The 25,929-nt window shown below is 40.2% G+C and overlaps 1 long non-coding RNA gene across 4 annotated transcripts in view; it reads right to left on the bottom strand.

Annotated features, from left to right (window-relative positions):
- Positions 1-384: 384 nt before the first annotated feature.
- LOC105376350 (uncharacterized) overlaps positions 385-25,929 on the bottom strand; it is a 116,889-nt gene continuing 91,344 nt past the window's right edge. For all 4 annotated transcript variants that reach the window (NR_188171.1, NR_188172.1, NR_188173.1 and 1 more), the window contains 2 exons: positions 3,480-3,637; positions 385-1,444 (listed from right to left, as the gene is read on the bottom strand). This is a non-coding gene — a long non-coding RNA (uncharacterized LOC105376350). The remainder of the gene's footprint in view (positions 1,445-3,479; positions 3,638-25,929) is intronic.

The raw sequence follows: 25,929 nt of genomic DNA, 5'->3' as shown, positions 1-25,929 counted from the left end.
AATTCTAGCACCTGAATTGAGACACTGTTTTTGACAAATGCATTGCTAATTACTTTTGGCACCACTCAGCTCTTAGAATGAATAGCTGCTATAGACAGTATTACCCTGAAACAGAGTGACACCAAACAGTTATTGTAAGAAGGGGCAGGTGGAACACCCAGCCGTCGCCTCCATTAGTCAGGACAACGATATGTGATTGCACCTCCTTGTCCTGTAGCTGCAATCCCATCACAGTTCAGTAGTTCAGTCCACATGCTCCACAATTATGCCACCATTCCCAAGCGTGCACACACACATACACCACACACACACATACACCACACACACACACACACACACATGCACTCAACCAATAGCAAATTACCACTACCTGGGTGGCTTAGGTGGCTTAAAACAACAGAAATTTATTCTCTCCCAGAGCTGCGGATGAGAAGTCCAAAATCACACCTTCTGGAAGCTCAGAGAGAGGGTCTGTTCCATATCTCTGTCCCAGCTCTCTCCGCTTCCTGGAATTCCTTAGCTTCATGGATTTGATCTCTGCGTCCATCTTCACATCACCCTCCTCTCTTCGTCTCTTTGTCTCTCTGTGTCTCCTTCTTTGTCTCTGCAAAGACTCTTATTTCAAGCACAGTCACATTCTGAGGTTTTTGGGGGCACCATTTGACCCACCACACTTACTGAGGACGGACCCCTTGCCTCCGCTCCAGGTTGCAGGAGCTGACTCTTCCGTAGCACACTTGAGTTTGTCACTGGCAAAGTCAAAAGCTGTTTATGAGGTCCTACGCAATTCTCTTCCTTTGCACGTATAAACATTTTCTCAGCATGGCCTCCCCATTCTCTCCCTGACACTGCCATCCAGTGAATTTTGTCATAATTTAAATTATCACTGCTTCCCAAATTGGAATGTATAAAAATTTAATTAAAGTTGTGTTTAAAGTGTTGTCTATTTCATATGGGAAAGACACATTGGACGATAATTTCAAAGAGTGTCATATTTTTATCACATTTTGCCAGCAAGGCACTAACCACCCTTTGTTCTGGACTATCTTTTCAAGGATGTCTGTGCAGTTAACACTGTTGGAAGATACAGATGTTGTCTTCCCGGGGAGCCAAGGGCAGCAATGCTCACTGCTCACAATAACATATTTGGGTTCCTAAGTCTCTGAGATTTTCTCCTGTCATGCAACCCACTGTGTACACGTTTCATCGAGGGCGTTCCACACCATTTTTCTGGGCAAGGAGAATAAACACACATGTGGGATGCCCAGGCACTGCCATCGTTGATACGGTCCTTTGGCTCTGACCCAGGAATCTTGTGTCTTCCGACAGCATCCTTGAAGTTGTGACAGGCTAGTTTGTTAGCTCCACATGGAGTAAAATATCATACCATTTACAGCTCTCAACAAGGTATGGTGTTTCTTCCTTACTTTCTTTCTTCTTCTTACTAGCAATTTGCAATGAGGTGAAGGGGGCAATGAAAAAAACATGTTAGAATCACTTAGACAAAATTATTAAAAAACCTATTTTCATCTCTGCTTGGAGGGCATACTTGTATCTGCTTGGTTAGAGTGAGCAGACTGGCCAGGATTATTCAATCAATCACTGATTCATACTTCTTTCCTTATAATACCTCTATACTCTCAGAACCTCTAACATTGTTTCTAGGCATAACTATATTTCAAGAAATGACATCTCCTTAGCACTAGAACTTCTACCTACCCAAACGTCCATCACAAGCTATATATCTTTTGAGCTCTGTGAACCAAACATGTGATCATCATGGCTTTTACCTCTTTTATTTTCCCCCCAAACAATGTATTTTGTGTTTCTCATTTGTTTAACTGGCATCATTGTTCTTTTGGTTATGGATAGAACTCTTACATTTATTAATATTTTGGGTCTAGCCATAAATTGAGTGAATGGAATTTATAATTATAATTTATATTCACACTCATAAATTGAGTGTGAATCCCACACTCCCATATCTAGGTGAAGAATTAAGGGATAGAGATGAAGTTGCTTATGTAAAGTTACATGAAAACTGCCAGGAGTATGTTACTTTCACTCAGTACTTTGACTCTTATTTTAATATTTTCTGCATTGCAACCCATTTATTTTTGCCATCAGATCCCAAAAGATGACAGATTGATTCTATATTAATGAATCCCCCTAAATTTGTCTCTTTCTCTTTGTTCACATATATATTCATGTATGTGTGTGTGTATATATATATATATATGTTTTACTAAGGAATGTCATTCATTATTTATAGTTTGCCTTTTATACTTTTATTATTAGAGTTTTTTGCAAGAAATTTTGAATACCAATTTTTGAGAAAATATTTGATTTGTGAAAGAGAGATCCCATTAACTCTGGCACAGTTCTATTTTCTGGCATAAAATGGAACTCCAGAAATTTCAGACTTGTTTTGCAATCCTCTGTCTGATTATGCTGATCTTTCTCCTTATGGATCTTACCTTTGTGGGCTCTGGGCTCACACAGCTTCTTTGAGAATGGATCATGGGGAGGTCTGGGCTCTGCACACACTTAGGCTTGAGATTGCCATAGCTCGGTGGAATGTCTGGGTGATCTCTGCAGATGCTTTCTGTACAAGACCTGCAGTCCACCTTGTTGCATGAAGAACAGGGCTGTCCAGGTGTCCCATAGCCACCCCTGCCCCACCAGCAGTGGTGGCCTCCAGGTGGCCCTAGAGGGATGCTCACTTGCGGTTCCTCACATGTGGACTGCAGATGTATTATTCACTTGACTAGGCAGCTTCCAAAGCATGTGCTTGGTCGTTTAATGACTACTTGTTTTATGAATTTTTATTAGCACTAGCTGCATTGTGATGGTGTCAATTGCCATACCTCTGTCTTGATCTTTCTTTCTATCTCCCTCTATATTTCTGTCTCCTACCTGGGATTTACTGCAGTGGCCTCTCTGGACTACATTGTAGATCAAGAACAGCTGCCAATATCTGTCTCTAACAGTGGGACCTAACTTAGAGAACCTAAACCAATATAACTTACAGTCCTTGTGTTAAGCAGTTCCAGTCTAACCATACATTCATGCTCTTGTAATAAACAACTCTGGGATGAAGGATTCTCCCGGACTTTGGGCTAAACACTTCGGTGATGAGGCAAATATACCTGGGTTATGGCTTCCAGGAAGTACTACTTCTAGAAGACAAGGCTGAGAAGCAACTAAAATAGCATCAGCACCTTAGTTACCAGAACTGACATCTTCCTCATCACCACTCACCCACAGTCCCTGCTTTGTTCTGCTCACCAACCCAGAGTTATTGTCATAAACTCTCTGAAACCTGAACCAGTTCTTGACCTTGGATAATCTACTTTTAAATCATCCAGCCTAGGCCTTAAATACCTATAAATATCTTGGTATTATTTTCCCTTTTCGAGATACTACTAAGACTCTGTTAAGACGTTCGTTTCCCTTATAGCAGTAAGTCTCATTCTTACTTTACATGATCCATGGTCTTTCGTGGTGTTCTTTCTGAGGGAGTCAACAGCAAGTGCCTTTCTGGGCTTTCTTACTTGGGGTCATCTTTCTTATCTTCACCACTGTGATTAATACTCTTGGCTTCAGCTTCTCCTTGAGGTCAGCATTTGTGTTTCCCCTGCCATGAAGATATTTTTGAATTATTCAACAGGCAAAAGGCCAAGCACAGAGATCTGTGCTGCACTGATGTAGTTCTATTCCTGTTGCCATATGCTATGGTCTGAAATGTGTGTGTCCCTCTAAATTTCTATGTTGACATCCTAACCCCAAAGTAGTGGTTTTCCAAGGTGGGGCCTTTGAGAGGTGAGAAGGTCCTGAGGGTGGAGCTTTCATGAATAAGATTAATACTGTAATAAAAGGGGCTCCAGAGAGTTGCCTCACCTCTTTCCCCACGTAAGGGTGAAGTGAGAACTTCCATCTGTGAACCAGGAAGTGAACCCTCACCTTACGCCAAATCTGCAGGCATCTTGATCTTGGACTTCCAGCCTCCAGAACCATAAGCTATAAATGTCTGTTGTTTAAGCCACCCAGTCCATGGTGTTTTGTTATGGCAACCCGGACAGACTGAGATACCCAGCACCAGCACCCCAGTAGACAGTTGCCGATGTATATAAATATATTCTAACTCTAATTTAGTTCTATAAACTATGAAGTATGCTTTGAAAACTTCTCGGATGCCACAGTTCCTTGGCATTGGTTTTAAGTGCTAATGTAAACTGAATATGATGTAATCTTTTCCATTTTAAAAATGAACCAAAAGCCCCAGAACAACACTCTCCTATGGAAACTTCTGCACCCATGGGAACGTTCTGTACCTGTGACCTTCAGAACAGCCTCCCATAGCTGCATGTGGTTAATGCACAATTGAAATGCAGCGAGCACAACTGAGGAGACACATTTTCACCTTTTATCCAATATCAATTCAATAAAATTTAAATTTAAACATCCACAGGTAGCTACTGGCTACTCTACTGGACAGTTCAGATCCTAAATGTTTATGAGAATGCATTGTCTTCTTCATTATTATTTAGAATATTACCCAATATAAGTCAGGCACTGTGGCTCATGCCTGTAATTCTAGCACTTTGGAAGGCTGAGGCGGGCAGATCACCAGAGTTCAGGAGTTTGAGACCAGCCTGGCCAACATGGTGAAACCCTGTCTCTACTAAAAATACTGTGAAAATGAAGGTGAGCAAATATATATTAATAGAATTTATTACATTAACCTTCTTATTTTCTCTTTCTGGTTCTTGGCATTTGTTTTAGTGGACTATGGATATCATCTGGTGTCATTTCCTTCTATTAGAAGACATCTGTGCTCCCACACACTATCTTTATGCTGTTAGTGTCAAATACATTGCATTTCTCTTTGTGATAGGCTCAGCAATACAATTATATGCATATTGTTTTATATAACTGATTTTCTATCAGTTAAGAGACAAAATGTGCTTATACAGTCTTTGAAATTACATAGCTACTTATACCAGTTCTCTTAGTTTTATTTTAAATGTGAATTCAAATGCCTATTTTGAATCACTTATTTTTAACCTAAAAAATTTTAAAATATTTATTGTAAGAATGGTCAACGAGCAACAAATTCTTTCAGTTTTTGCTTATCTTGGAATGCATTTATTTTACCTTATTTTTTAAATGGTAGTTTTGCTGGATATAGATTCTAGTTTTTTGTTTATTTGATTGTTTTTGTTTTTTGTTTCCACCACAGTGAATGCGTCATCCTACTGCCTTCTGGCCTTCATTGTTTCTAATGAGAAGACAATTCCTAATCTCCTTGGAGGTTTCTTGTTGTTTTATTTTCTTGCTGCTTTCAAATTTTTCTCTTTGTCTTTGCCTTTCAGCAGTTTTTAAATATTGTGGCTGGTTGTGATTTCTTTCATTTATTATACTTGGAGTTCACTGATCTTCTTGGATGTATAGATTAATGCTTTTCATCAGATTTGGGAAGTTTTCTAACATTACTTTTTCAAATAATCTCTCTGTCCTCCTTGCAGGAGCCCCATAATGTGTATATTGAACCACTTGGTCATGCCCCAAAAGTCCCTTAGGCTTCATTTCTTTCTCTTCATTCTTTTTTGTTTTTGCTTCTCTGACTTGCTAGTTGTAAGTGGCCTACCTTCAAGTGTGTTGGCTCTTTATTCTGCCTGTTCAAATCTGCTATGGATCCCTTCTAATAAATATTTCATTGCAATTATTCCATTTTGTAGCTCCAGTATTTTTGTTTCATACCTTTAAAAAATAATTTATGTCTCTTATTTGATATCCTCATTGTGTCTATTTATTGTCTTTCTGATATCTTTGATTTTTTTTTGTCTGTATTTTTCTTTAGCTCTTTGGTTATATTTAAGAGTTTTATTTTAAGTACTTTTTGAGTAAGACTGATATTTGAGTTTCCTGAGGGATGATTTCTGTCAACTTACTTTTTTTCTCTGAAAGCTGATTGTTTTTCCTGTTTTTTCTCTACGCTTTGGAATTTAGTGGTTGTTATTGTTGTTGGAGAATGGGCACGTGAAAAACAAAAGCCCTTTCTACATTTTGCACACTAACTTTGTCATTGGCCGGCACTTCTCCAATTAGCTGGATTTGCTCTGATCCTGGGGATCTGCTGAAGGAAAAAGCTTGAAGTCTTTTCAGGACTTTTTTGGAACATGTATCTTTCCTTGGCCTGTGTGTGTGGCTTTCTCAATTCTCCCGTACATGTGGCTGCTTTTGAATGTCTTTTTTTTCGTTAAAGAGTTTCACCCAGTGTTTCCTTAAGCCTTGAGTGTTCTGCTGTTTATATCCAGCAGTTATCTCTTGCCCCAGAAATGTTAATCTCATGGCAGCTTCCACAGTAGCACTCACTACTTTTCCTAACTAGGATTTGAGTTAGGCTATACCAAGATCCATTCTTCAGGTAGCCCCTAGACAGCTTAGACTGTGGGAAATAAGACTATTTTTCCACATCCCATAGACCAAGATGACTCTGCACCAGGTAGAGGGTGAGGCAAGAATAAGTAAAATGCTCCGACATTCTTCCTAGAATTTTGATGATGGCTTTTTCTTGATTAGGATTCACCTGGCTGCTCTAAACCCTAGGCTGCTTTCCAGAGCTCCTGTGTATTAGTTTGGTCATTCTCTTGTTGCTGTATTTTGATGTTTTCAAAGGGGAATAAGAGCTGGGACTTCACATCTACTACACTGTTGATGTTACTGTCAGGCAAAGGTAGTTTTGAGGACAGTATTTTTTTTTTACTAGTTCTTAATAGTTATATTAGTTATCTCTGATAAACTAGGCATCATATGCATACTTTATTGCTTTTATTTGCTGTAGTTATCCACTTAATTGTTTTACACCAAAATATTCTTTGTTTTTAAGACTACCCTTAGGCTGGAACTTCCCCAGATTTTTTCAAATCAAGTCAGTTGCTGTAGGGAGAACACTAGTGCTTCCTGTTCTTATGGATTGCCTCCCCTCTTCTGAGCCACTTTTGTGGGAGACGGGGAGCAGACTCTGGTTCCGTGGAGGGGAGTGGATTCTGGCTCTCTTCCCTTGTTTTCCTGGCATAGAAAATCTTTCCTGCAAGTGCTGGATCAAGGGCTATCAGGACCCCAGATTTTTGCCTGCTGTGCCTGGAGTACAGCCTCCACCCTCTACTGGGGGCTAGGTAGAGGAAGGGAACTGCCAGCCTCTCAGCCATGAGCACCAGTAATTTAGACTCTGAAACTCAGGGGTTGAGTAGGTGAGACATGCTGGTGGCATGCCCTTTTTGGTGGGATACTGTAGCCCTTAACTGGGATCTGAGCAAAAGAAGATCCTTATCTCATTGGTCCCAGCCACTGCGAGTGAAGCACTGCCCAGCTGAGTGAGGGAGGGACGGCTGGGGAGCAATCATGGCCCAAGTAGAATAGACTCCTGCTGTTCTTACTGAGTCTTCGTATATTTTCTCGAATAAATGCTTCCTCATTTACTACAATTCAAAAAACTTTATTTTTACTATTTTTAAAATAATTTTCACTAGTGATAATTGTTTCGCTGGAAACAGGTCCACAGGCTCCTCATGCCACCCTCCTATAAGCCAGAGTTCCTTTTATTCTAATAACACAAGTAAACCCTAAGTCTACGCAGTTTTCAGTGAGATCTTATAGAAATTATGATATAAGCAATCCTTTCTCTCAGATGGAAGGGTTACTATTTTCAGTGAAGAAGAGTCCTCAACACAATATGAAGCTCAGGGAAATGAGCTGAACTTATTTTTGCAGTTGGGAGAAATAAAAATGCATTAGTGTTGTGTTGCTGGCAACCACCATAAAGTGCCTATCTTAATATATCAGTGTTAACAATGACATAATGCACCCAAGGGAGGTACAGCAGCAAAGAAACAATTAACTTACCACTTAGTGCCTTCATTTTGCCTGCAGTGAAAGACTAATGAAATCAGAAGTGGCAGCCCTGCGCAGGCCTTGTTCTGCTCTCCCGGCTCATTATCAGCTCACAATGGCTGAGGATAACGGCAGAGCAGATTACTTCTGTAAAACAGGTATTAGAACAGCTCCGAGTACTCTGGAGCCATCTGCCAGCATTAACGTCTTTTCATTAGTTTGTATCAGATTTTCTCCAGTCTCTAAAATAGCTAGACTAGAGCCAGATCAGGTAGACTACAGCAAAACTTTGTCTGGGAGGAGCCACGTGTCTGTGCTCAGGACACAGTCCAGGGATTCCTCATCTTCAGCTCAGAGAAAGGTGAGGAATTCGGTTTAAGGTTCCTTCAAGGTTATTCCATTTTAGAGACGAGGGGACCATAACAAAAAGGGGCTGACATAAGTGTTTTCTTGTTGTTTTACTTACAATTGTCTTTTGTTAATTTCTTTGGTTAATTTCTTTTGTTGTCTGGGCCATTCCAGGAGCAATGTTATTTTTCCTTTCTGGTTTTATGAGAATTTATTTTAGTAAATAGTTCACAAACCCTATCATGACAGGTGAGTTCACTTTGTGTTGGGTTTGCTCTGATAACTAGTATTCCAAACTCATTGTTGTGTTTTGATATTCTATTCTTGTTTTTGTTTGGAGTGCTTGTTTTCCTTTGAATGCTTAAATCCTTCCCTTGCTGAAAGTTCTTTTTTTTTTTTAATCTAGCAAAACTATTTTTTTCTGATTCCTTTTTCTGTCAATTGCTCCTCTTTTATCTTGCATATTTTGTATCCGTGCCACCCAAGGTATCAGTGTGGAAAATTCACTCATGTCCTTTCTTTATCTGTGGGTTATATAGCGCATGCTGCCGCACGACTCTCTTTTTTCTGCTTAATCCTTTTGTTTCCAATTTTGTTTGTTCATGATTAAGTGGAAAGAAATATTTTTCCTTCTTTTGTTCTTTCATCTTTTTTTTTACTTCATTCACATAATACAGTTAGTGTTCATCACATTAGTCTAATTTGTCAACTTTGTCCTTGCTTTCAATGTGCCATATTGAGATAGCATAGAGTTTGGTTTTGTTTGTTGAGTTAATCTCTAATTTTTCTTCTGTTGGAAGCATTTATATCATTTAAGGTTTTTTGGTGTTTTCTTGCTGTTTGTATTGTTTTCCATTTGCTGCTAATGAGACAGATTGTGTTTGCTTTTCTTTCCTTTAGTGAATTTAAGGCATACAGGTAATTTTTTATATCATTTATTGATTTTTAAAATTATACGCTATATATTCTACTTTGAAGTGCAAGGAAACAGAGAAATTGAATCACAGAATTCTCTTCCCTTCTCTTCATCCCAACCAATCCCTAAGGGAATGAACGTGACATAAATTTTAGAACCAATAGAATCAAAGAATGGAGCACTGAGGGTTCAATGCCATTCATCTCCAAATTTCAAAACACAGGCAACAATCAAATAAGAGTGTGGAGCTGGCAGACATGGCTCACGACCTGCTGTGAGCTCACAGAGCCGAGGTCCTTAACCAAACAGGTTCCAACAATTACTGTGGTTCTCCTCATCGTATTCCTGTTTCTATTGGTCTAGTAGGAGGAGCTGCTGAGGAAAAGCAGGCAAAATTGATTTTAAAACACAAGTTGCTGACTAGGGACATACTCCTGAGTAGCGGCATGGGCCGTGGCTGTAGACATGTAACAGAACTTCAAAAGTCAGAAATATACTATTTTTAATTCGTCAAGTTCTGTAACATGGTTTTCTTTCTATGGGTATAATTTTGCCCTTTTTCACCTTAGAACTTGATTTAAATGTGTTGAATGCTCACACAGGGGAATACCTTTTTTGTTCGCCACAACTTCTTCACTCCTGACTGCTTTTATTCTTCACTTCGTTTGTCAGTGTGTCTTAAGTTTTTTGCTGGTCAAAGGAGCCTTGTTTATTGCTTTAATACTAAAATACATGGATGGGTTTAACTGCTCTACCTTTTAAGTATGTGTAGCTATTGGTTTAGTTTAGCAACAATTGCTGCTGTAGAGAACAGGGAGTCTCCCTGAAGTGTCTCTAGAAACGGGTTTTTGGCCGGGCTTGGTGGCTCACGCCTGTAATCCCAGGACTTTGTGAGGCCAAGGCGGGTTGATCACGAGGTCAGGAGATCGAGACCATCCTGGCTAACAGAATGAAACCCCGTCTCTACTAAAAATACAAAAAAATTAACCCAGCGTGGTGGTGGGCGCCTGTAGTCCCAGCTATTCGGGAGGCTGAGGTAGGAGAATGGCGTGAACCTGGGAGGCGGAGCTTGCACTGAGCTGAGATCGCGCCACTGCACTCCAGCCTGGGCGACAGAGCGAGACTCCATCTCAAAAAAAAAAAAAAAAAAAAAAAAAAGAAAGAAATGGGGTTAGAATGGACAACAGAATGTTATTCCTTGTAGGTGAGTATTTTTTTTCTTTACTTCCAGGAATTCTACATAAATCCATGTTTATTTATAAGTTCAGCTCATTCTGCCCCTCCCAGCTGAAGCTTGGGAATGGGAAGTTGACATCTGAGTGTGCAGCCTTGGGCTGTGTGGGGCTGATGCTACACGTGGCAGGGGGTAAGCTGTGGCTATGACATGTCACCACCTTCCCACTGGAAGGTTAGTTACAAATATCTGGATTTCCATTGGCATTGGATCTGCAAGTGCAAGAAACTCTTCAACCTCTGTAATTTGGTTTCTTGCAATTTCTATCTCATTATGAAAAACTAAAATAATACCATGGTATGATGTAGTCCAATGAAAATAAGAATTTCTGAGTTTGTCACATCCTACAGTAACCAGCTAATTCTCCTCTACTGTCTTTTCTAGTAATTATACAGGCATCTCAATTTTGACTAGATTGTAACCATATGAAGATTAAAACACACTTCTTATTTTCTTTCAGGCTGTCCCTGACAGCCTAATACCTGTCAGGGACTCAGAAAATATTTGTTTGAAAATGACAGGATAGTCCTGTTTTATAATTCTGAAAGTTTAAGTGACACGTTTTAGTACATCGTATGTTATCGTACAGTCATTATTGATCACTCACTATTTGGAGTAATTTGTCAATTAAGGTCAGTGGATAATCTTAATGTTTACAGTAAAAAGCATCTCCACATTTTCAGAGGTGAATCAGTGGAGGCTAAATCGGCTTCTAAGCAGATTTTCACCTTTGTGATGTCTCCATTAATAGGATCAGAAGAACGGAACTCAGAAACAAGCTGACCACCGAATTTACTGCTAGGAGCAAGGAGCTAGTGAGTGCCCTTTGCGGAGTTGATTAGGATCTTGATTACAGCAAATGCATGGTCTTTCAAGCATGAAGAGTAACTACACTATCTCATTATAAGTAGATGCTCCCCGAAGGCAGGGGAATCTCACATTTCTTTATGCTTTGCACTCATAGAATTTGAATTAGTGGTAGGCATTTGGTAAACATAATTTTTTTTTTGAGACGGAATCTCGCTCTATTGTCCAGGCTGGAGCAACTCTCGGCTCACTGTAACCTCCGTCTCCCATGTTCAAGTGATTCTCCTGCCTCAGCCTCCTGAGTAGCTGGGATTACAGGTGCATGCCACCATGCCAGGTTAATTTTTGTATTTTTAGTAGAGATGGGGTTTTGCCATGTTGACCAGGCTGGTCTTGACCTCCTGACCTCAGGTGATAAAAAAGTGTTTGGACTAACCTTCAAATAATAATTGAGAGTGTGATAAGTCTTTATAATAATTAGATTACTGTGTTGCTTATTTGAAATATTATTTTGTGTTTTGGAAGTTTGCCACTATACTTTTTGAATTTCTTGAAATTGACCCACTGCTGGGAAGTACCCGTTGAAGAAAAAGCATAAAAAAAAAGGTGTGCTGATTATCTCCTACCTTCTCTGGGATCTACGTTTTTAAATGTGTAAATAATTTTTAATCTCAATGTGCATTTCTCATCTGTTACTAATGTGTTAGTTCTGACTGAATAATAATATATTTACTTAATAACATTAAATTTCCTAAATATATTTTTCTTTGAAATAGATACATTATTTCAAATTTAATCATGACTCAAGTTTTAAAGTTTTGTCTTAAAGGAAACAATCAATATTCAATATTTTCTATTCAGTCCTTTAAATAAAATATCACCCTATATATATTAACTCCAACCTTTTCACTCTGCAGGCATGCATAACACCTCATTGTTTGTGGGGTCTCTGTAACACGTAGACCTATATGGATGTGTCTCCAGGAATTTATCTGCATAAAGAATGGAAGGCTCTTCTAGGAAAACACTCTTCAGAAAGCATGAGAAAGAGATTGCAATGTAGAATGGTTTGAAGATCATGAGCCAGTCTTCTGAGAGAATGGGCACTGGATTTGTGCGCATTGTGTCTTCCCTCAGATTCATCCTCAAACCCAGCTCTTGACAAATACTGGATCCTACATAGAGACAGGCTGTCTTCACAACATGAAAGGATGGCTTCATTAAAGGTCCTAGAGAGCCCTGTAAATGCAGAACAGTGGTGCTTTGAGACCCACTTGGCACCGTACAAAGTAGCTATGAGGGCAGAATTCTCCAGGCATTAGTGGGAAATGAGTGTAATTTTGTTTTGTATTGCTTTAAAGGAATACCTGAGGCTGGGTAATTTATAAAGAAAAGAGGTTTATTTGGCTCACAGTTCTGCAGGCTGTACAGGAAGCATGGCGCCAGCATCTGCTTCTGGTGAGGGCCTCAGGAAGCTTCCAACCATGGTGGAAGGAAGAGGGGAGCTGCATGTACAGAGATCATGTGGCCAGAGAGGAGCTGAGATGGTGGGGAAGGCACCAGGCTCTTTTTAATCAATGAGCTCTCAGGGGAACCAATAGAGCAAGAACTCTCTCATCACGGCCAGGATGGCACCAAGCCATTCAAGAGGGATCCACCCCCATAACCTGAACATCTCCCACTAGGCCCCAACTTCAACCTTGGGGACACAATTTCAACATGAGGTTTAGGGGACAAACATCCAAACTATAGCAGGTTCCAAAGCTTTTAAAGCTTCAGTGATCCCAGCAAGCCTTGGGTGGCTGAAGGCTTCAGTTCATGAGTGGCAGCCCTTCTGTGTTCTTGAGAAGAGGGCAGGCTCTGGTGTGGTCTCAGGGGCTGATAGAGGAAACTCACCTGGTTTCAAGGGGGTGGAGGCCTCAGGTGTAGACAACACATTGTGGGGCAGAGCCAGAGAGAAGTCACCTGCAGGGTGCTGCTTTGTTGGTGAGATGTCATGCTTGTAAGCATGAAGATAACACCTCCCACCTCCATAAAACCCAGATATTTTGGGGGAGAGCTTTGCCCCCAAATGGAAGTTGATTTTTGATTATTTTAATTTTAAAACTATACTGAATAATATGGTTTGGCTGTGTCCCCACCCAAATCTCATCTGGAATTGTAGTTCCTATAATCCCCACATGTTATGGGAGGGACTCAGTGGAAGGTAATTGAATCAGGGTGCAGTTATTTCCATGCTGTTCTGGTGGTAGTGAGTGAGTTCTCATGAGATTTGATGGTTTTATAAGGGGCCTCCCCCTCTTCAATCTGCACGTCTCCTTGCTGCTGCCATGTGAAGAAGGACATGTTTGCTTCCACTTCTACCATGACTGTAAGTTTCCAGAGGCCTCTCCAGTCCTCTGGAACTGTGAGTCAATTAAACCTCTTTCCATTATAAATTACCCAGTCTCAGGTATTTCTTTATTAGCAGCGTGAGAACAGACTAATACACTGAGAGATCTGTATGTTAATATTGTCACCTGTGCTGTCTATCAAATGTTCTAAAATTGCAGACCTTGTAGTCTATTCCAAGCCATGCCATCAGTCAGTGAGATATTTCAAGACAATTTTTCTTTGATGTAATACTTTGGAAGAAATTATTTAGTGCTCCCTCAATAAACAAACAAAAATAAATAAATAAATAAATAAATAAAAATCAGTAGAAACTATGAAAACACCAGGAAAATGAAGCCCCTGGATGACAGTTGTGCCTCTGACATGTGATGGACCAGAGGAGTGAGCCAGGTACCTACGGAGAAGCCGATGGAATTGACTCAATAAAACAGAAGTGGAAAAATATTGGTGATGTCATCAATCAAACAGTCCCTTTTCCAAGTTCAACAAATGCTACAGAAACTTTATGATTACAATATAAAGGAAAAAACATCTCAAGAGAAATTTAGTTTATGTGAACAGGGACTAAGTGGGCACGGTTTTGAGAAAATGATGGATTTTCAAATGCTGGGAACATTTACCCTGGAGTTTGCAGGGTTCTTGACAAAGAATTCATGGACAAAGGAGTAATGGTCCCAGCATGGAACTAGACCCTGCGCTGAACGATACTCATGTAATTACCATACTGTCATGCACTCTTACATTTTTAATCGTTTAGACTTAAAAGATAAAACTAAAATGTATTATATTTGTTATCAATAAAACAATGCAAAATTAATATGAAAATGTATATAAATAATGTGTTTGACAATATGGGGACAAAATCATAATTGGCAGAAAAAAAGGTAATCAAAAAAAACCAACTAAGCCAAATCAAATTGAGGAAAAAGGGCTCAAAAATAACATAACTGAATTTAATTCTTATATTTTATAGCAAGATATCTATCTATCTATTTATTATCTATCTATCTATCTATAGTGGTATGTGTTCATTATTTACTGTTGGGAGAAAATTCTGGAGAAACAGAGTCAGAAACACTTGAAGTGTTTGCCCCAGCACAACAGCAAAGGGAATGAGGTGCTGTTCTGTTGCCTTCATAGCATTTTTTCTATATTATTATATTTTTTAGCACGATAACAAAAATAAAACATGACAACCTGTTGGTACAATCTGTTCCATGTTTTTTTTTTTTTTTTTAATGATCTTGGCTGTCCAGAAACAACAATAAGGAGACAGTTCCTTCATCACCCCGACTTTCCAGGCAATGAGTGTAGACGTGGAACCATGAAGAGAAACCTCCCAGCACCTGGACTTGGGGTGCCCGCACCAAGATGGGGACCATGCACCCTGTCTGACTGACTCTGCTCCGAGTAGGTCAGGGCCTGGGGCACCTCACTTCACTTTTCTGAGCCTGATTTATTCTTATTATGAATAAAACTCAGAGTTTAATGAGATTTGTGGTTTCCAAAATATTTTTGCATGCAGAAACATTTCTTTAAAAGGAATTATGAAGCCTACAGGCTGTTTTTCACTGATGCTGCTACCCACCACAGTGATGAGCGCAAGCCTTACAATAAAAGTAATTGTTAAATTTAATTTAGCTCATGGTTTATGTAAATATTACATCTTTTTTTATGTACAGGTCATTTTCTTATTGAACATTATAATAAATAGTAAACAAAAGGTTTTACAGAAATTGCTAGTGTACCTGGGAAGCTTTGTTCAGATAGAGGGTTTTTTTTCCTTCCTATAAGTGATTCAACTGCTGAAAAAACTAGCTGCAAATTTATTGAAGACATGTTTTAAATAGCATCACATAAAAGGCATGATGGACATCAGACTTGGTAACTGTCATTAAAATTGTTGTTCATATATTTATTTTCTAAAGTGTGTATATTTTTATTAAAATGTAGATTATTAATTTCACCTGTGTAGGTCATATTCATCTGAATTATTAAGCTATATATAGTTTAATTCAGCTATGGACTGTTATACTGGATCTTACTAATAGCCAGTTAATAGGAGAACGTGAAAATTCCATTACAAAGAAGTTAATGAGAAAGTGAGAATTCTGCTACAGAGATAGCTCTGAATGTTTGGAAGCACTGAATAGCTGTAATGACTTTACTTTATTCTTCAAGTGTAGGAAATTATCTCTCATGCATTCCTTCTTTTTTCTTTAAACAACAAATAAAACCAGTTACTCTTCAAACATCTTCGTATTCCAGGAACCCTCTATTTACCGTACATAAAGAACTGCTTTAGGTGATTATCCTGTTACTGTGACTGTATGTTTTCAAATCAAGCTACATATAATTAATAATAAATTACACACCTACAGTAGGTATGTTTTCTCACATGATGCACAACTGGTTTAAAGCTATTTTAAATTCTATGTTATATATATAATATGTATATATAATATATATATATTACTATCTTCAAAACTAAGTTGATAATGTACCACTTTAATTTCCTTAATTTCTGGCCTGTCATCATTTTGGTTTGTCTACCATTATCCCAGGAGTTTGCCTCTGTCTTTCCTTCTTGGTTTTGCACAGACTTTTTTCCTTTGTTTGAGTCATGTCTAATTTCTACCTCTGGATGACCTATCTAAATGGCAATGACATTCCTTACATAGCTGGATAAGCCTTCTTCCTGTACAATGTCAATTCTTCAAATAATCAACAGTAATTCCAAGTTGTAGAAAGCTGGTAGCTTTACCAAAGTTTGTTACCTTATGGAAGGGCAACCTCTGAAACATGTGGGCAGCAGAGAGATGGAAATTGATCTTCACTGTCGTCTTGGGTGTGAGATAAGTGAGTGGGAGGGTAGGAGCTCCTGGTTCAGCAGATGATGGTTTCTTAATCACCGATTTTGAAAGGTTGGAGCTCTTTATAATTTCACACCCTTGTCTCACCTCCCAACACATATGCCATTTACTACTTTCTCTGCTACCATAGGTTCAATTTTTTTCACTCATATCTGAATACTGATTACTTTTCTTCTAATGAGTGGGAATATTTAAGCAAGAATATGATATTATGCCAATTAAATTTTACTTTATTCTGTTGAAACCACTCTCACATAGAAAGAAAGAAGGAAGAAAGAAAGAAAGAAAGAAAGAAAGAAAGAAAGAAAGAAAGAAAGAAAGAAAGAAAGAAAGGAAAGAAAGAGAAAGAGAGAGGGAGGGAGGGAAGGAAGGAAGGAGGGAAGGAAGGAAGGAAGGAGGAAGGGAAGGAGGAAAGGAAGGAAGGAAGGAAGCAGGGAAGGAAGGAAGGAGGGAAGGAAGGAAGGAAGGAGGGAAGGAAGGAAGGAGGGAAGGAAGGAAGGAGGGAAGGAAGGAAGGAAGGAGGGAAGGAAGGAAGGAAGGAAGGAAGGAAACACAATAGCAAAAAGGTAACATCTGGTTACCTAACTTTCAGAATTTCCATCGTCACCTCATCAATTTTCTTCCCTAACTGAAGTTAAATAATTCAAAATTTCCCTCACTTTTATATTTTAAAACATTTCGCTACTCTCTTTATTACTCTGTCATCTTTGAAGGCATCATGAAATAAATAATACTTCCCCCTGGCTTTTGAACCAACCAGCATGAACCTGTGATGGAGAGAAAGCTTTACCATGTTCTAAATGTATTCAAAAGGGTTTATCAAATACCTTCTGGATGGACCACACTTCATGTGACTGGCACAAGAGTTAAATATGTATTCTGAACTGGTGCTGCCTGGAATTTTAGTATTTTACTCTCCTTAAGTGTATTCTTGTGAAATTCTAAAAATTATCCAGGGTAGTCTATACACATTTTCAATCTTTAACATAATCTCGTAAATAGAAGATGCACATATAAGTAACAATAAATGCTAATGCTGGGCGCCGTGGCTCACGCCTGTAATCCCAGCACTTTGGGAGGCTGAGGCAGGTGGATTACCTGAGGTCAGGAGTTTGAAACCAGCCTGGCCAACATAGTGAAACCCCATCACTACGAAAAATACAAAAAAATTAGCTGGGCATGGTGGCGTGCATCTGTAACCCCAGCTACTCAGGAGGCTGAGGCAGGAGAATCGCTTGAACTCGGCAGGTGGAGGTTGCAGTGAGCCGAGATTGCACCATTGCACTCCAGTCTGGGTGACAGGGAAAGACTCTGTCTCTCAAAAATAAATAAATAACAATAAATAAATAAAATAAAATAAAATAAATGCTAATAAAAAGAGTAAATGATTTTCTTAGCCGAAGACAATGTCATCTTTTGGAAAAATGGCAAACTCTGAAAAGCAAAGAGGAGTGCACAGGACGAGGAGAAACTGTACACAAATATGGCATCATGTCTGGCTGTAGCCATGTGTAGAGATGATCAGAAGTCAGCACAGTGAAATTCTCTGGGGATTAGGTGGAGGCATCTCAAATGAGGTAAGTCCTAGGGGTCATTTTCGGTCAGTTATAACAGAGCAAAATGGGGCAGTACCCCAGAGAGAAAAATAGACGCCACCATTCCTAGATATCTTATCTTATTGCTGTATTTTTATATTGGGAGATGTCTTTCCATGTCATCTTTCTGCCAAAAATGCCTTAAACAGGTTTTATAGTATATCCGGATGTTGATAAGGCCGCCATAAAAATCACTCAGACTATCTCCAGCATGTTACACCCTCTCCCACCAGTTTGTTCTGATTGGAGATCAAAATCCATTGTCATTTGAAGTTGTGGTCTCTTCAAGGAAAATGTCCTATTTCTGTGGCTGCTTTCAATTTTTATTTCCCTTTTTTTGTTTTTGGTTTTCAGAAGTTTAATTATGATGTGTTTATCACGGGATCTGGGGGTTTATCCCCCCTGGGGTTCACTTAGCCTCTTGAATTGCAGGAGTATATGTTTCTCCAAATTGGAGATGGCTTCAGGCATTATTTTTTTCTAATACTTTTTAGTCTCCTTTTCTGTCAGAAATTCCCATTATATAAATGTTAGCTATCCTGTTACTTTTCTTTAAATTGACACAAAGGTCCTAGATACTGTTCATTTTTGTGGTCGTTGTTCTCCTTTCTCTGCCATGCAGCTTATTTGATAACTTATCTCAATGTGTCCTCAGAGTCGCTGATTCCATCTTTGTCGTCTCTGCTCTACTAGCGAGACCATCTAGTGAGGCAATTTTCTGCTTTTTAGGTTTTTTTGTTTGCTTTTTTCCTTTTAATTTTGGTTAATGTAACTTTCAGTTCTATATGATTTCATCGTGGGTTTTTCTGGTTATAATTTTTATGTTTTGCTGAGATTTTCTATCTTTTAGTGTATGTTAAGTAGACACATCTTCTGTTTTGGCAGGTGCTGCTCTCTGGAGGTGCAGGGGCAGGTCCTGTTGGGCGAGTGTGTGTAGCTTCCCACTGGGGCCCTGACACCTCCCTCCCATGGTGGGCCTTGACTCCTAGCATCTCCTTGCCAGGCATGAAACTCAGCCTCCCTCAGCCGGGTTGACTCCTTCCCAGGGAATGTGGGCAGAGACATGGTTGCCTCGAGTGGGTGGAGGCTCAGCCCCTCACTGTACCCTGCTGTGATCGGGGTGGTACAGTCAAGTGCAACCAGCCCTGCCTAGGGGTGTGGATGTTCGGAGTTCGCTGGACCCATCTGCAACCTGCTGCTATACCCACCTTGGTAGGGACTCAGAGCTCCCTGCCTTGCCCACCCCCCAGGTGTGACTGTGCTGCCACTACCTGCTGTAGCAAGCAGGGATGGCTGGGAGGCCCGCTCCCTGCTGGGCACCCTTGACACGGAGTCGGGTTGTTGCTCTGTTGCAGTCTGGCTGAAGCGGGCTGGGCATTGCCTTCCTTCGGGAGGTGGTCCTTTTCCCCGTGACCTGCCTGGGAGCAGGCTGTCCTTGAAGCTCTTTTGGTCCATGCCTGTTGAAAGTTCTGGGTGGAGGCTTCTGAAGCACCTTGTCCAGGATACGTGAGAAGCCCCCAGAAGCCCAGGGACCCATTGCAGCTGGTTCCTCAGCCCCAAGACCCCCGGGTGCCTCCTGCTTCCACCCTTCAGGGGCCCGCATGTGTGCTGTGCTGGTGCTTGTCCTGTGTGTATGGAGGGCCCAACAGGAGTGGGGCTGCTCCATCTTGGCTGCAAACCAAAGTCAGCTGATTTTACCTGTAGTCATGATTTACATGGAGATACCATAGTCAAAAAAAGTGTTTTCTCCTCAGATTTCCTATCAATACAATTAAAATGAAATAAAAATAAATGTCACACTAGAGAAAGGGATTTCTCTAGAGAAGGGCATTTCTCTAGTGGGAAATAGGGAAGCTGATCTAGGGAAGGCTGAAAGAAGATTCAAAGAAGATCTGATGTGCAACTGGGCTCCTTTTGACATGTAATTTTGTTTTTACACTATATTTTCAATGTCATACTTTTAAATCTGAAAATCTTATTCTGTGAAAATCATCTCTTCTTTTATTTCGACCTTTATTAAAATGAGGCAGCAATCTATTGCTTAAAAGATAGTTAAAGAGCATCAAATAACCCTAAATAACCCAATTTTTGTGCCTTCTCTGAGAACCTACGAGATAAGACAGCTCATGTAAATACTCAGCTATCAATTGTGTAGGCTCCCTGGGAAAGCCCCTGTCCCCATGCTGACCATGGTCTCTAGGAAGGTCCTGATTTTGGCTCCATGGAGCCAAGTCTTCATGGACCACTGTGGGCTGCCATGTCATGTTTTACCTAGAAGTCATGAAAATAGATCGACATACATAAAAATGTGGCTGGTGCTATTATTTCTCAGTGTAATCTGAGCTGCAGATCTCCAGTTCAGATTTGAAAGAGCAATTCCTCTTGTGATTATTCTGAATTCCTTTAAATCATTGTTCTCGAAGAACCAGTGATGGGTAGGAGGAACTTCAACGTGAAAACACACATAGAAGCTAAATTAGACAAACATTTGTATTTTAGAATTGAAGATGATTTACGTAGAATTGCAGCTTCAAATATAGATAATACAGAAATGGCTTCTAGATGCTATTTTCCGTTAAATAATGACAATTTCTTCCTACCTTTGAATGGGAAAAACATATATATGCTGATAATATTTAAAAAGACAATATGCTTTATCACCAATGAAATAAAGAGTATGCTTATATTAAAATAGTTCCTCTACCACACAAATATAGCATTTCCCAATAATTTATTTTATGCCACTAAAAACTATTTTTTTTAGATTAAAAGCATTCTACAATTCAAAATTGAAACTTACTGTTTGATACAATGCTTTTTTCATCAACTTTTAAAAATAGCTCTTAAAAAGCAACTTTGACATACGTTCTCAAGTCAATAAAGGAATTTTTTTCTTCTCCTTTTATTTGTGTTCAGAGATTATGTCCTGAATTAAACAATCTTAGTTAATTCGAATGCAAATAATCCCTATTTCATGTGTCTCTTTCAGCTGTTGTTACGTGTTTGGAATCTAGCTTCTCACACTAAAGAAGGCCTGTCGTAGTGTTCATTTTAGCTGTTCTTCATGCTCTGTTCAATCTTTTCCTGAGCAGGTTCATCCCAGGATACTGTGCAATTCAGTTCAGCAAGTATTTACTGAACAGAGATGCACCACTGTGAGGGGTACGGAACTGAGGACTGTCTTCAGAAACGCTAGGGGAATACTGGGGACATGCACACTAAATCTGACTTGATATTAGAGAGCTTTTGGAGAAAGTTTAAAATTGAGCTGGGCTTTGAAGGATGGCTGGAGTTGAGGTAAATGGAAGTGCAAATCAGTGTATTCAAGATAGAAGGTAATACAGGAGAAAGACAAAGTGTGGTAAATCCTGGATCAAAAATCATTTTCAGTGGAATAGAGATGAATAGCAAGTAGTCTCAAAATACAAGCTTGTGAGGTTGAGCCTGTGTACAGACGACTTCAAATAGAAGAATAATGACTCTGTAATTTATTTAATGGACACTGAAGAATTATGTAAGCTTTGTGAAAGATAGAAACAGATGTTATTTCAAAGTATCATCTGAGACATGTTTTAAATAAAACCACAGTGATTATTGGGCACTGACTCAGCTCTCACCCACACCAACAATAGAAAACCAGAAATGCTAGTCAAATTCAAGATCATGTCTTTCAAACTGTAAGTAGATAACTAGAAATCAGTAAAATGAAAAACAATAAGAAGTGACTATTTTAAGCATTTTACTTTTACAAAAGAAATATTTCAAAATCAATTTGTTAATTTCTGCCAAAAAAAATTCTTTTAGGATTTTTATTGGAATTGCCTTGGGTTTACGGATCAACTCAGGGAGAACTGAATTGTTAATAACGTGAATTTTCTCAATTAATGAATGGTTAATCTATTAATTTAGGTCTTTTAAAAGTACTTTCATAAATACTTTATGGTTTTCCAAATGCGAATCCACAAATATTTTCTTAGAAACGACCCTCAATATTTTATGTTTTTAAATTATTATAAGTGTTATTCTTTACATTTTAATTTCCACTGATTCTTTGCTAACATATAGGAGTACATTATTTCTAAACATTGGCCTTGTATCCAGTGATTATTTATATTCATCGAGATTTTTATATGGGTGATCATGTGTTCTGCAAATAAGAACAATTTTAAAACATTTTAAATCTATATTCCTATTTTTAATTTTAGTCTTATTACGTTGACTAAAAGCACCTGTACGATGTTGAATAGAAACCGTGAGAGCAGGAATGTGCGTTTTCTCCGTCTTTCAGGGGAAAGCATTCGGTCCTTCCCCGTTAGGGACGATGGTAGCTGCTGGTTTCTCATGGATGCAGGGCAAGGGGCCAGTTTGTCTTTCTGGTATGTGGATGTTCACTTTCTCCAGAAACATTTGTTGGAAAGTTTATCCCCTTCCTACAGATTCATCTTGGTCTTATTGTTGAAAATGAAGTAACCCTGTATGCATGACTTTAAAATGAGTATTGATTTCAGCTTGTCAAGGAAATTTATCATTTCTGAAATAGTGCTTGTCTATTCCAATAATTCATTTGCATGCCCCTTTTGAAAATAATTTCTATAACTATGTTGACAGTCCCCATATGTTTATGCAACACTGTTTCCATTGGATCTCTGACATATTAACCCTCGGTTTTACAGTTCTGATTTCATAGTTCTAGCATCTGGGCCATTCCTACATATGTGTCTCCTGATTGATTTTTATCTTAAAAATTAGCAGCTTTTATTCTTTCTGTGTGTGGGAAGATCGCTTGATATTTAATTGAATTCTGGACATTGTGTATGAAAGAACAGTAAAAACTGTGGAAAATAGCCTTTGGGCCTAGAAGAGCGAGCCCCGCTTCCTATCAGGCCTTTAGTGGGAGGCAGGGCTGTGCCAATCCAATGGGCATTGTATTAGTCCATTTTCACACTGCTGTTCAAGTTGCTGGGCCCAGAGGTTTCCTACCAAGCCCTCAGGTCAGAGTAAATACCTGAGACTGGGTAATTTATAAAGAAAAAGAAGTTGAATATACTCGCGGTTCCATGTGGCTGGGGAGGCCTCACAATCATGGCGGAAGGCAAAAGGAACTCCTTCTTTTTCTTTTTTGAGACTGAGTCTCGCTCTGTCACCCAGGCTGGAGTGCAGCGGTGCGATCTCAGCTGACTGCAACCTCCTCCTTCCAGATCCAAGCAATTATCATGCCTCAGCCTCCCGAGTAGCTGGGATTATAGGCGTGCACCACCACGCATGGCTAATCTTTTGTATTTTTAGTAGAGATGGGGTTTCACCATGTTGGCAAGGCTGATCTCGAATTCCTGACCTCATGCAATCTGTCTGCCTTGGCCTCCCAAAGTGCTGGGATTACAGGTGTGAGCCACCACACCTGGCCGAAAGTCACGTCTTACATGGCGACAGGCAAGAGGGAGAATGAGACCAAGTGAAAGGGGATTCCCCTTATAAAACCAGCAGATCTGGTGAGACTTAGTCACTACCACGAGAAGAGTATGCGGGAAACTGCCGCCATGATTCAATTATCTCCCACCGGGTCCCTCTCACAATATGTGGGAATTATAGGAGCTACAATTCATGATGAGATTTGGGTGGGGACACAGTCAAACCACATGAGGCATTGAGCGGGAGCGGGGTTGGGTTTTACTGTTGCAGGCACTTCATCCTTGCAGGGCAGTCCTGTTACTCCCCCTGTGTGTGAGTGGCTCTCACCTCGTGCTCATCCTTGAGCCTGGGATGTGGAAAGGTTATTCTCATGCTTCCTCTTCTGCCTTCAGCTCACTGTGGTGGCTGTGCTGCCCACCATGGGGTCTGTCTGCACCCACTCCTGAGCTGTGTGTGCACTGGCCCATGCAGGAGCTGTCCCTGCTCTCCTGACACAGCCTTGGCCGCAGGTGGCCTCAAGCTCCTGGGTCTCAGGGCAGAGCCTCCTCAGCATCTCTGTCCCTTGTCCCATCACAGCCAGACTTCCACTGTGTCTGAGGCTGGTTGTGGGCAGCCTTGTTCCTTTGGCTGGGCTCAGAGGATTCGTTTTGTGTGGTGGTTGTCAGGAAAGTGAGGAAAAGCTGGCTGGTGCCATGGTGGGCACTTGTTGGGATCCCATGAAGATGGCCTGTGCCCACGAGGAGCAGAGAGCAGCCACATCTGCCAGCCAGCCCAGAGGCTCCTGGCCGTAGCTGCCTTTACCATTCCCCAGGCTCTCAGCGAATTCTGCTCCATGGAAAGCTGTGGAGTGGTGCTGGTCTGAACCCACGGACAACGGGGAGGCCCAAGACCAGAGCGTGCTGAGGCTGGAGGTTCAGTCTTTCTTCTCCTCCAAGAGATCCGTCCTTCACTTCTGCTGCCCCCACATGGAACCTTTTCTGTTAAAGAAGCCAAAGTTTCCTCAAATATGACCATGGAGCATTTTGGATAAACATAAAGTGTGGCTGGAAAGTCAGAGTCCACAGGGCCCCTGAGCGTTGGCCCAAAGAGGTGGAAGAGGGCCACCCTCGGTGGCTCAGGCCTCTAATCCCAGCACTTTGGGAGGCCAAGGCAGGCAGATCACGAGGTCAGGAGATCGAGACCATCCTGGCTAACATGGTGAAACCCCGTCTCTACTAAAAATACAAAAAATTAGCCGGGCATGGTGATGGGCGCCTGTAATCCCAGCTACTCGGGAGGCTGAGGCAGGAGAATGGCGTGAACCAGGGAGGCGGAGCTTGCAGTGAGCAGAGATCGCGCCACTGCACTCCAGCCTGGGCTACAGAGCAAGACTCCGTCAAAAAAAAAAAAAAAAAAAAAAGGGGTGGAAGAGGTGCCCTGGCAGGAAAGTCACAGTGTAGGCATATGAGGCAGGAAATTCACATGGAAAATGCAAGGCACAGCACTGCCTATTGCTGTCCTCTGGTCATTTGTGTCTTTGCTGGCTGTGCTCCTGTGCTGAGACAATAGAACCCAGGATTGGGGAAGAAGGTGGATTTCTTGGAGGGAAGAGTTACCGTTCAGAGGTTGAGCCTTCACAATGGAGATCAGGAGTAAAAACAGAGTAAAAGATGTCATCTCTCTCTTTCTTCATCTGAAGAAGCTCAGGATATGTTTTTGCATGACAATGATTATTCTTCCACGATTTTGCAGAGTTCTCCTCCTGAACTCTGTCTATCTTTACCGGAGAATGAAACACTGTCGGTGAGTCTCTGTTGCCTGGAAATATCAGCCATGATCTGGGGAAATACTGGATATCCACATGTGTAATGACACGTTACTTCAAAACTGGAGATGAGGTCAGGATGCAGTTTTGTTAAAAACATAAGGTTACATGGACGCAGCAAAAAGTCCGGCAAGAAGCTAACAAATAGTGATGCTGTTGTTTGTACTTTCCGTACTTCGTGTATTTCCTACAGTGAATATGAATTACCTTTCTAATCAGAAAAACAAACAGCTGCAAAAGCAAGCTGACTGATCATCTCTGTGTTTTTACACCATGAGGTTTAAAGTGAGTTAATCTCATATTAGTCCTCATTGTTTATTAATGATGAATCACATTTATCTGATATCTCTTTCACAGGAACATGTTTGCATTTTTAAAAGGAATTTCTGCTGTCTCTCTTCTTAACCTAAGATCCTGGTTGAAATTTCAGTGTAAGAAGTGTTTGGCTCAATCGTCACATTTCTTTTTTTTTTTTTTTTTTTTTTACAGGACTTCTTTAAAGAACAGTAGTTATTATTCTCTCATTTGATGGTTATAGATTTGAAAGCACAAACAGCAGAAGCAGCATTGAAAATGAGATTTAGATTTTCCAACTTTTAGCTCCATCCTGCCAACTCTTAGGAGTGTCAGCCCTCATCAATTTTGTTATGATT

The sequence above is a fragment of the Homo sapiens genome, chromosome 10 (genome assembly GCF_000001405.40).
Source record: "Homo sapiens chromosome 10, GRCh38.p14 Primary Assembly".
Lineage (NCBI taxonomy): Eukaryota > Metazoa > Chordata > Mammalia > Primates > Hominidae > Homo > Homo sapiens.
The sequence above is the reverse complement of the archived record's forward strand: the minus strand, read 5'-3'. Positions and strand labels throughout refer to the sequence as shown.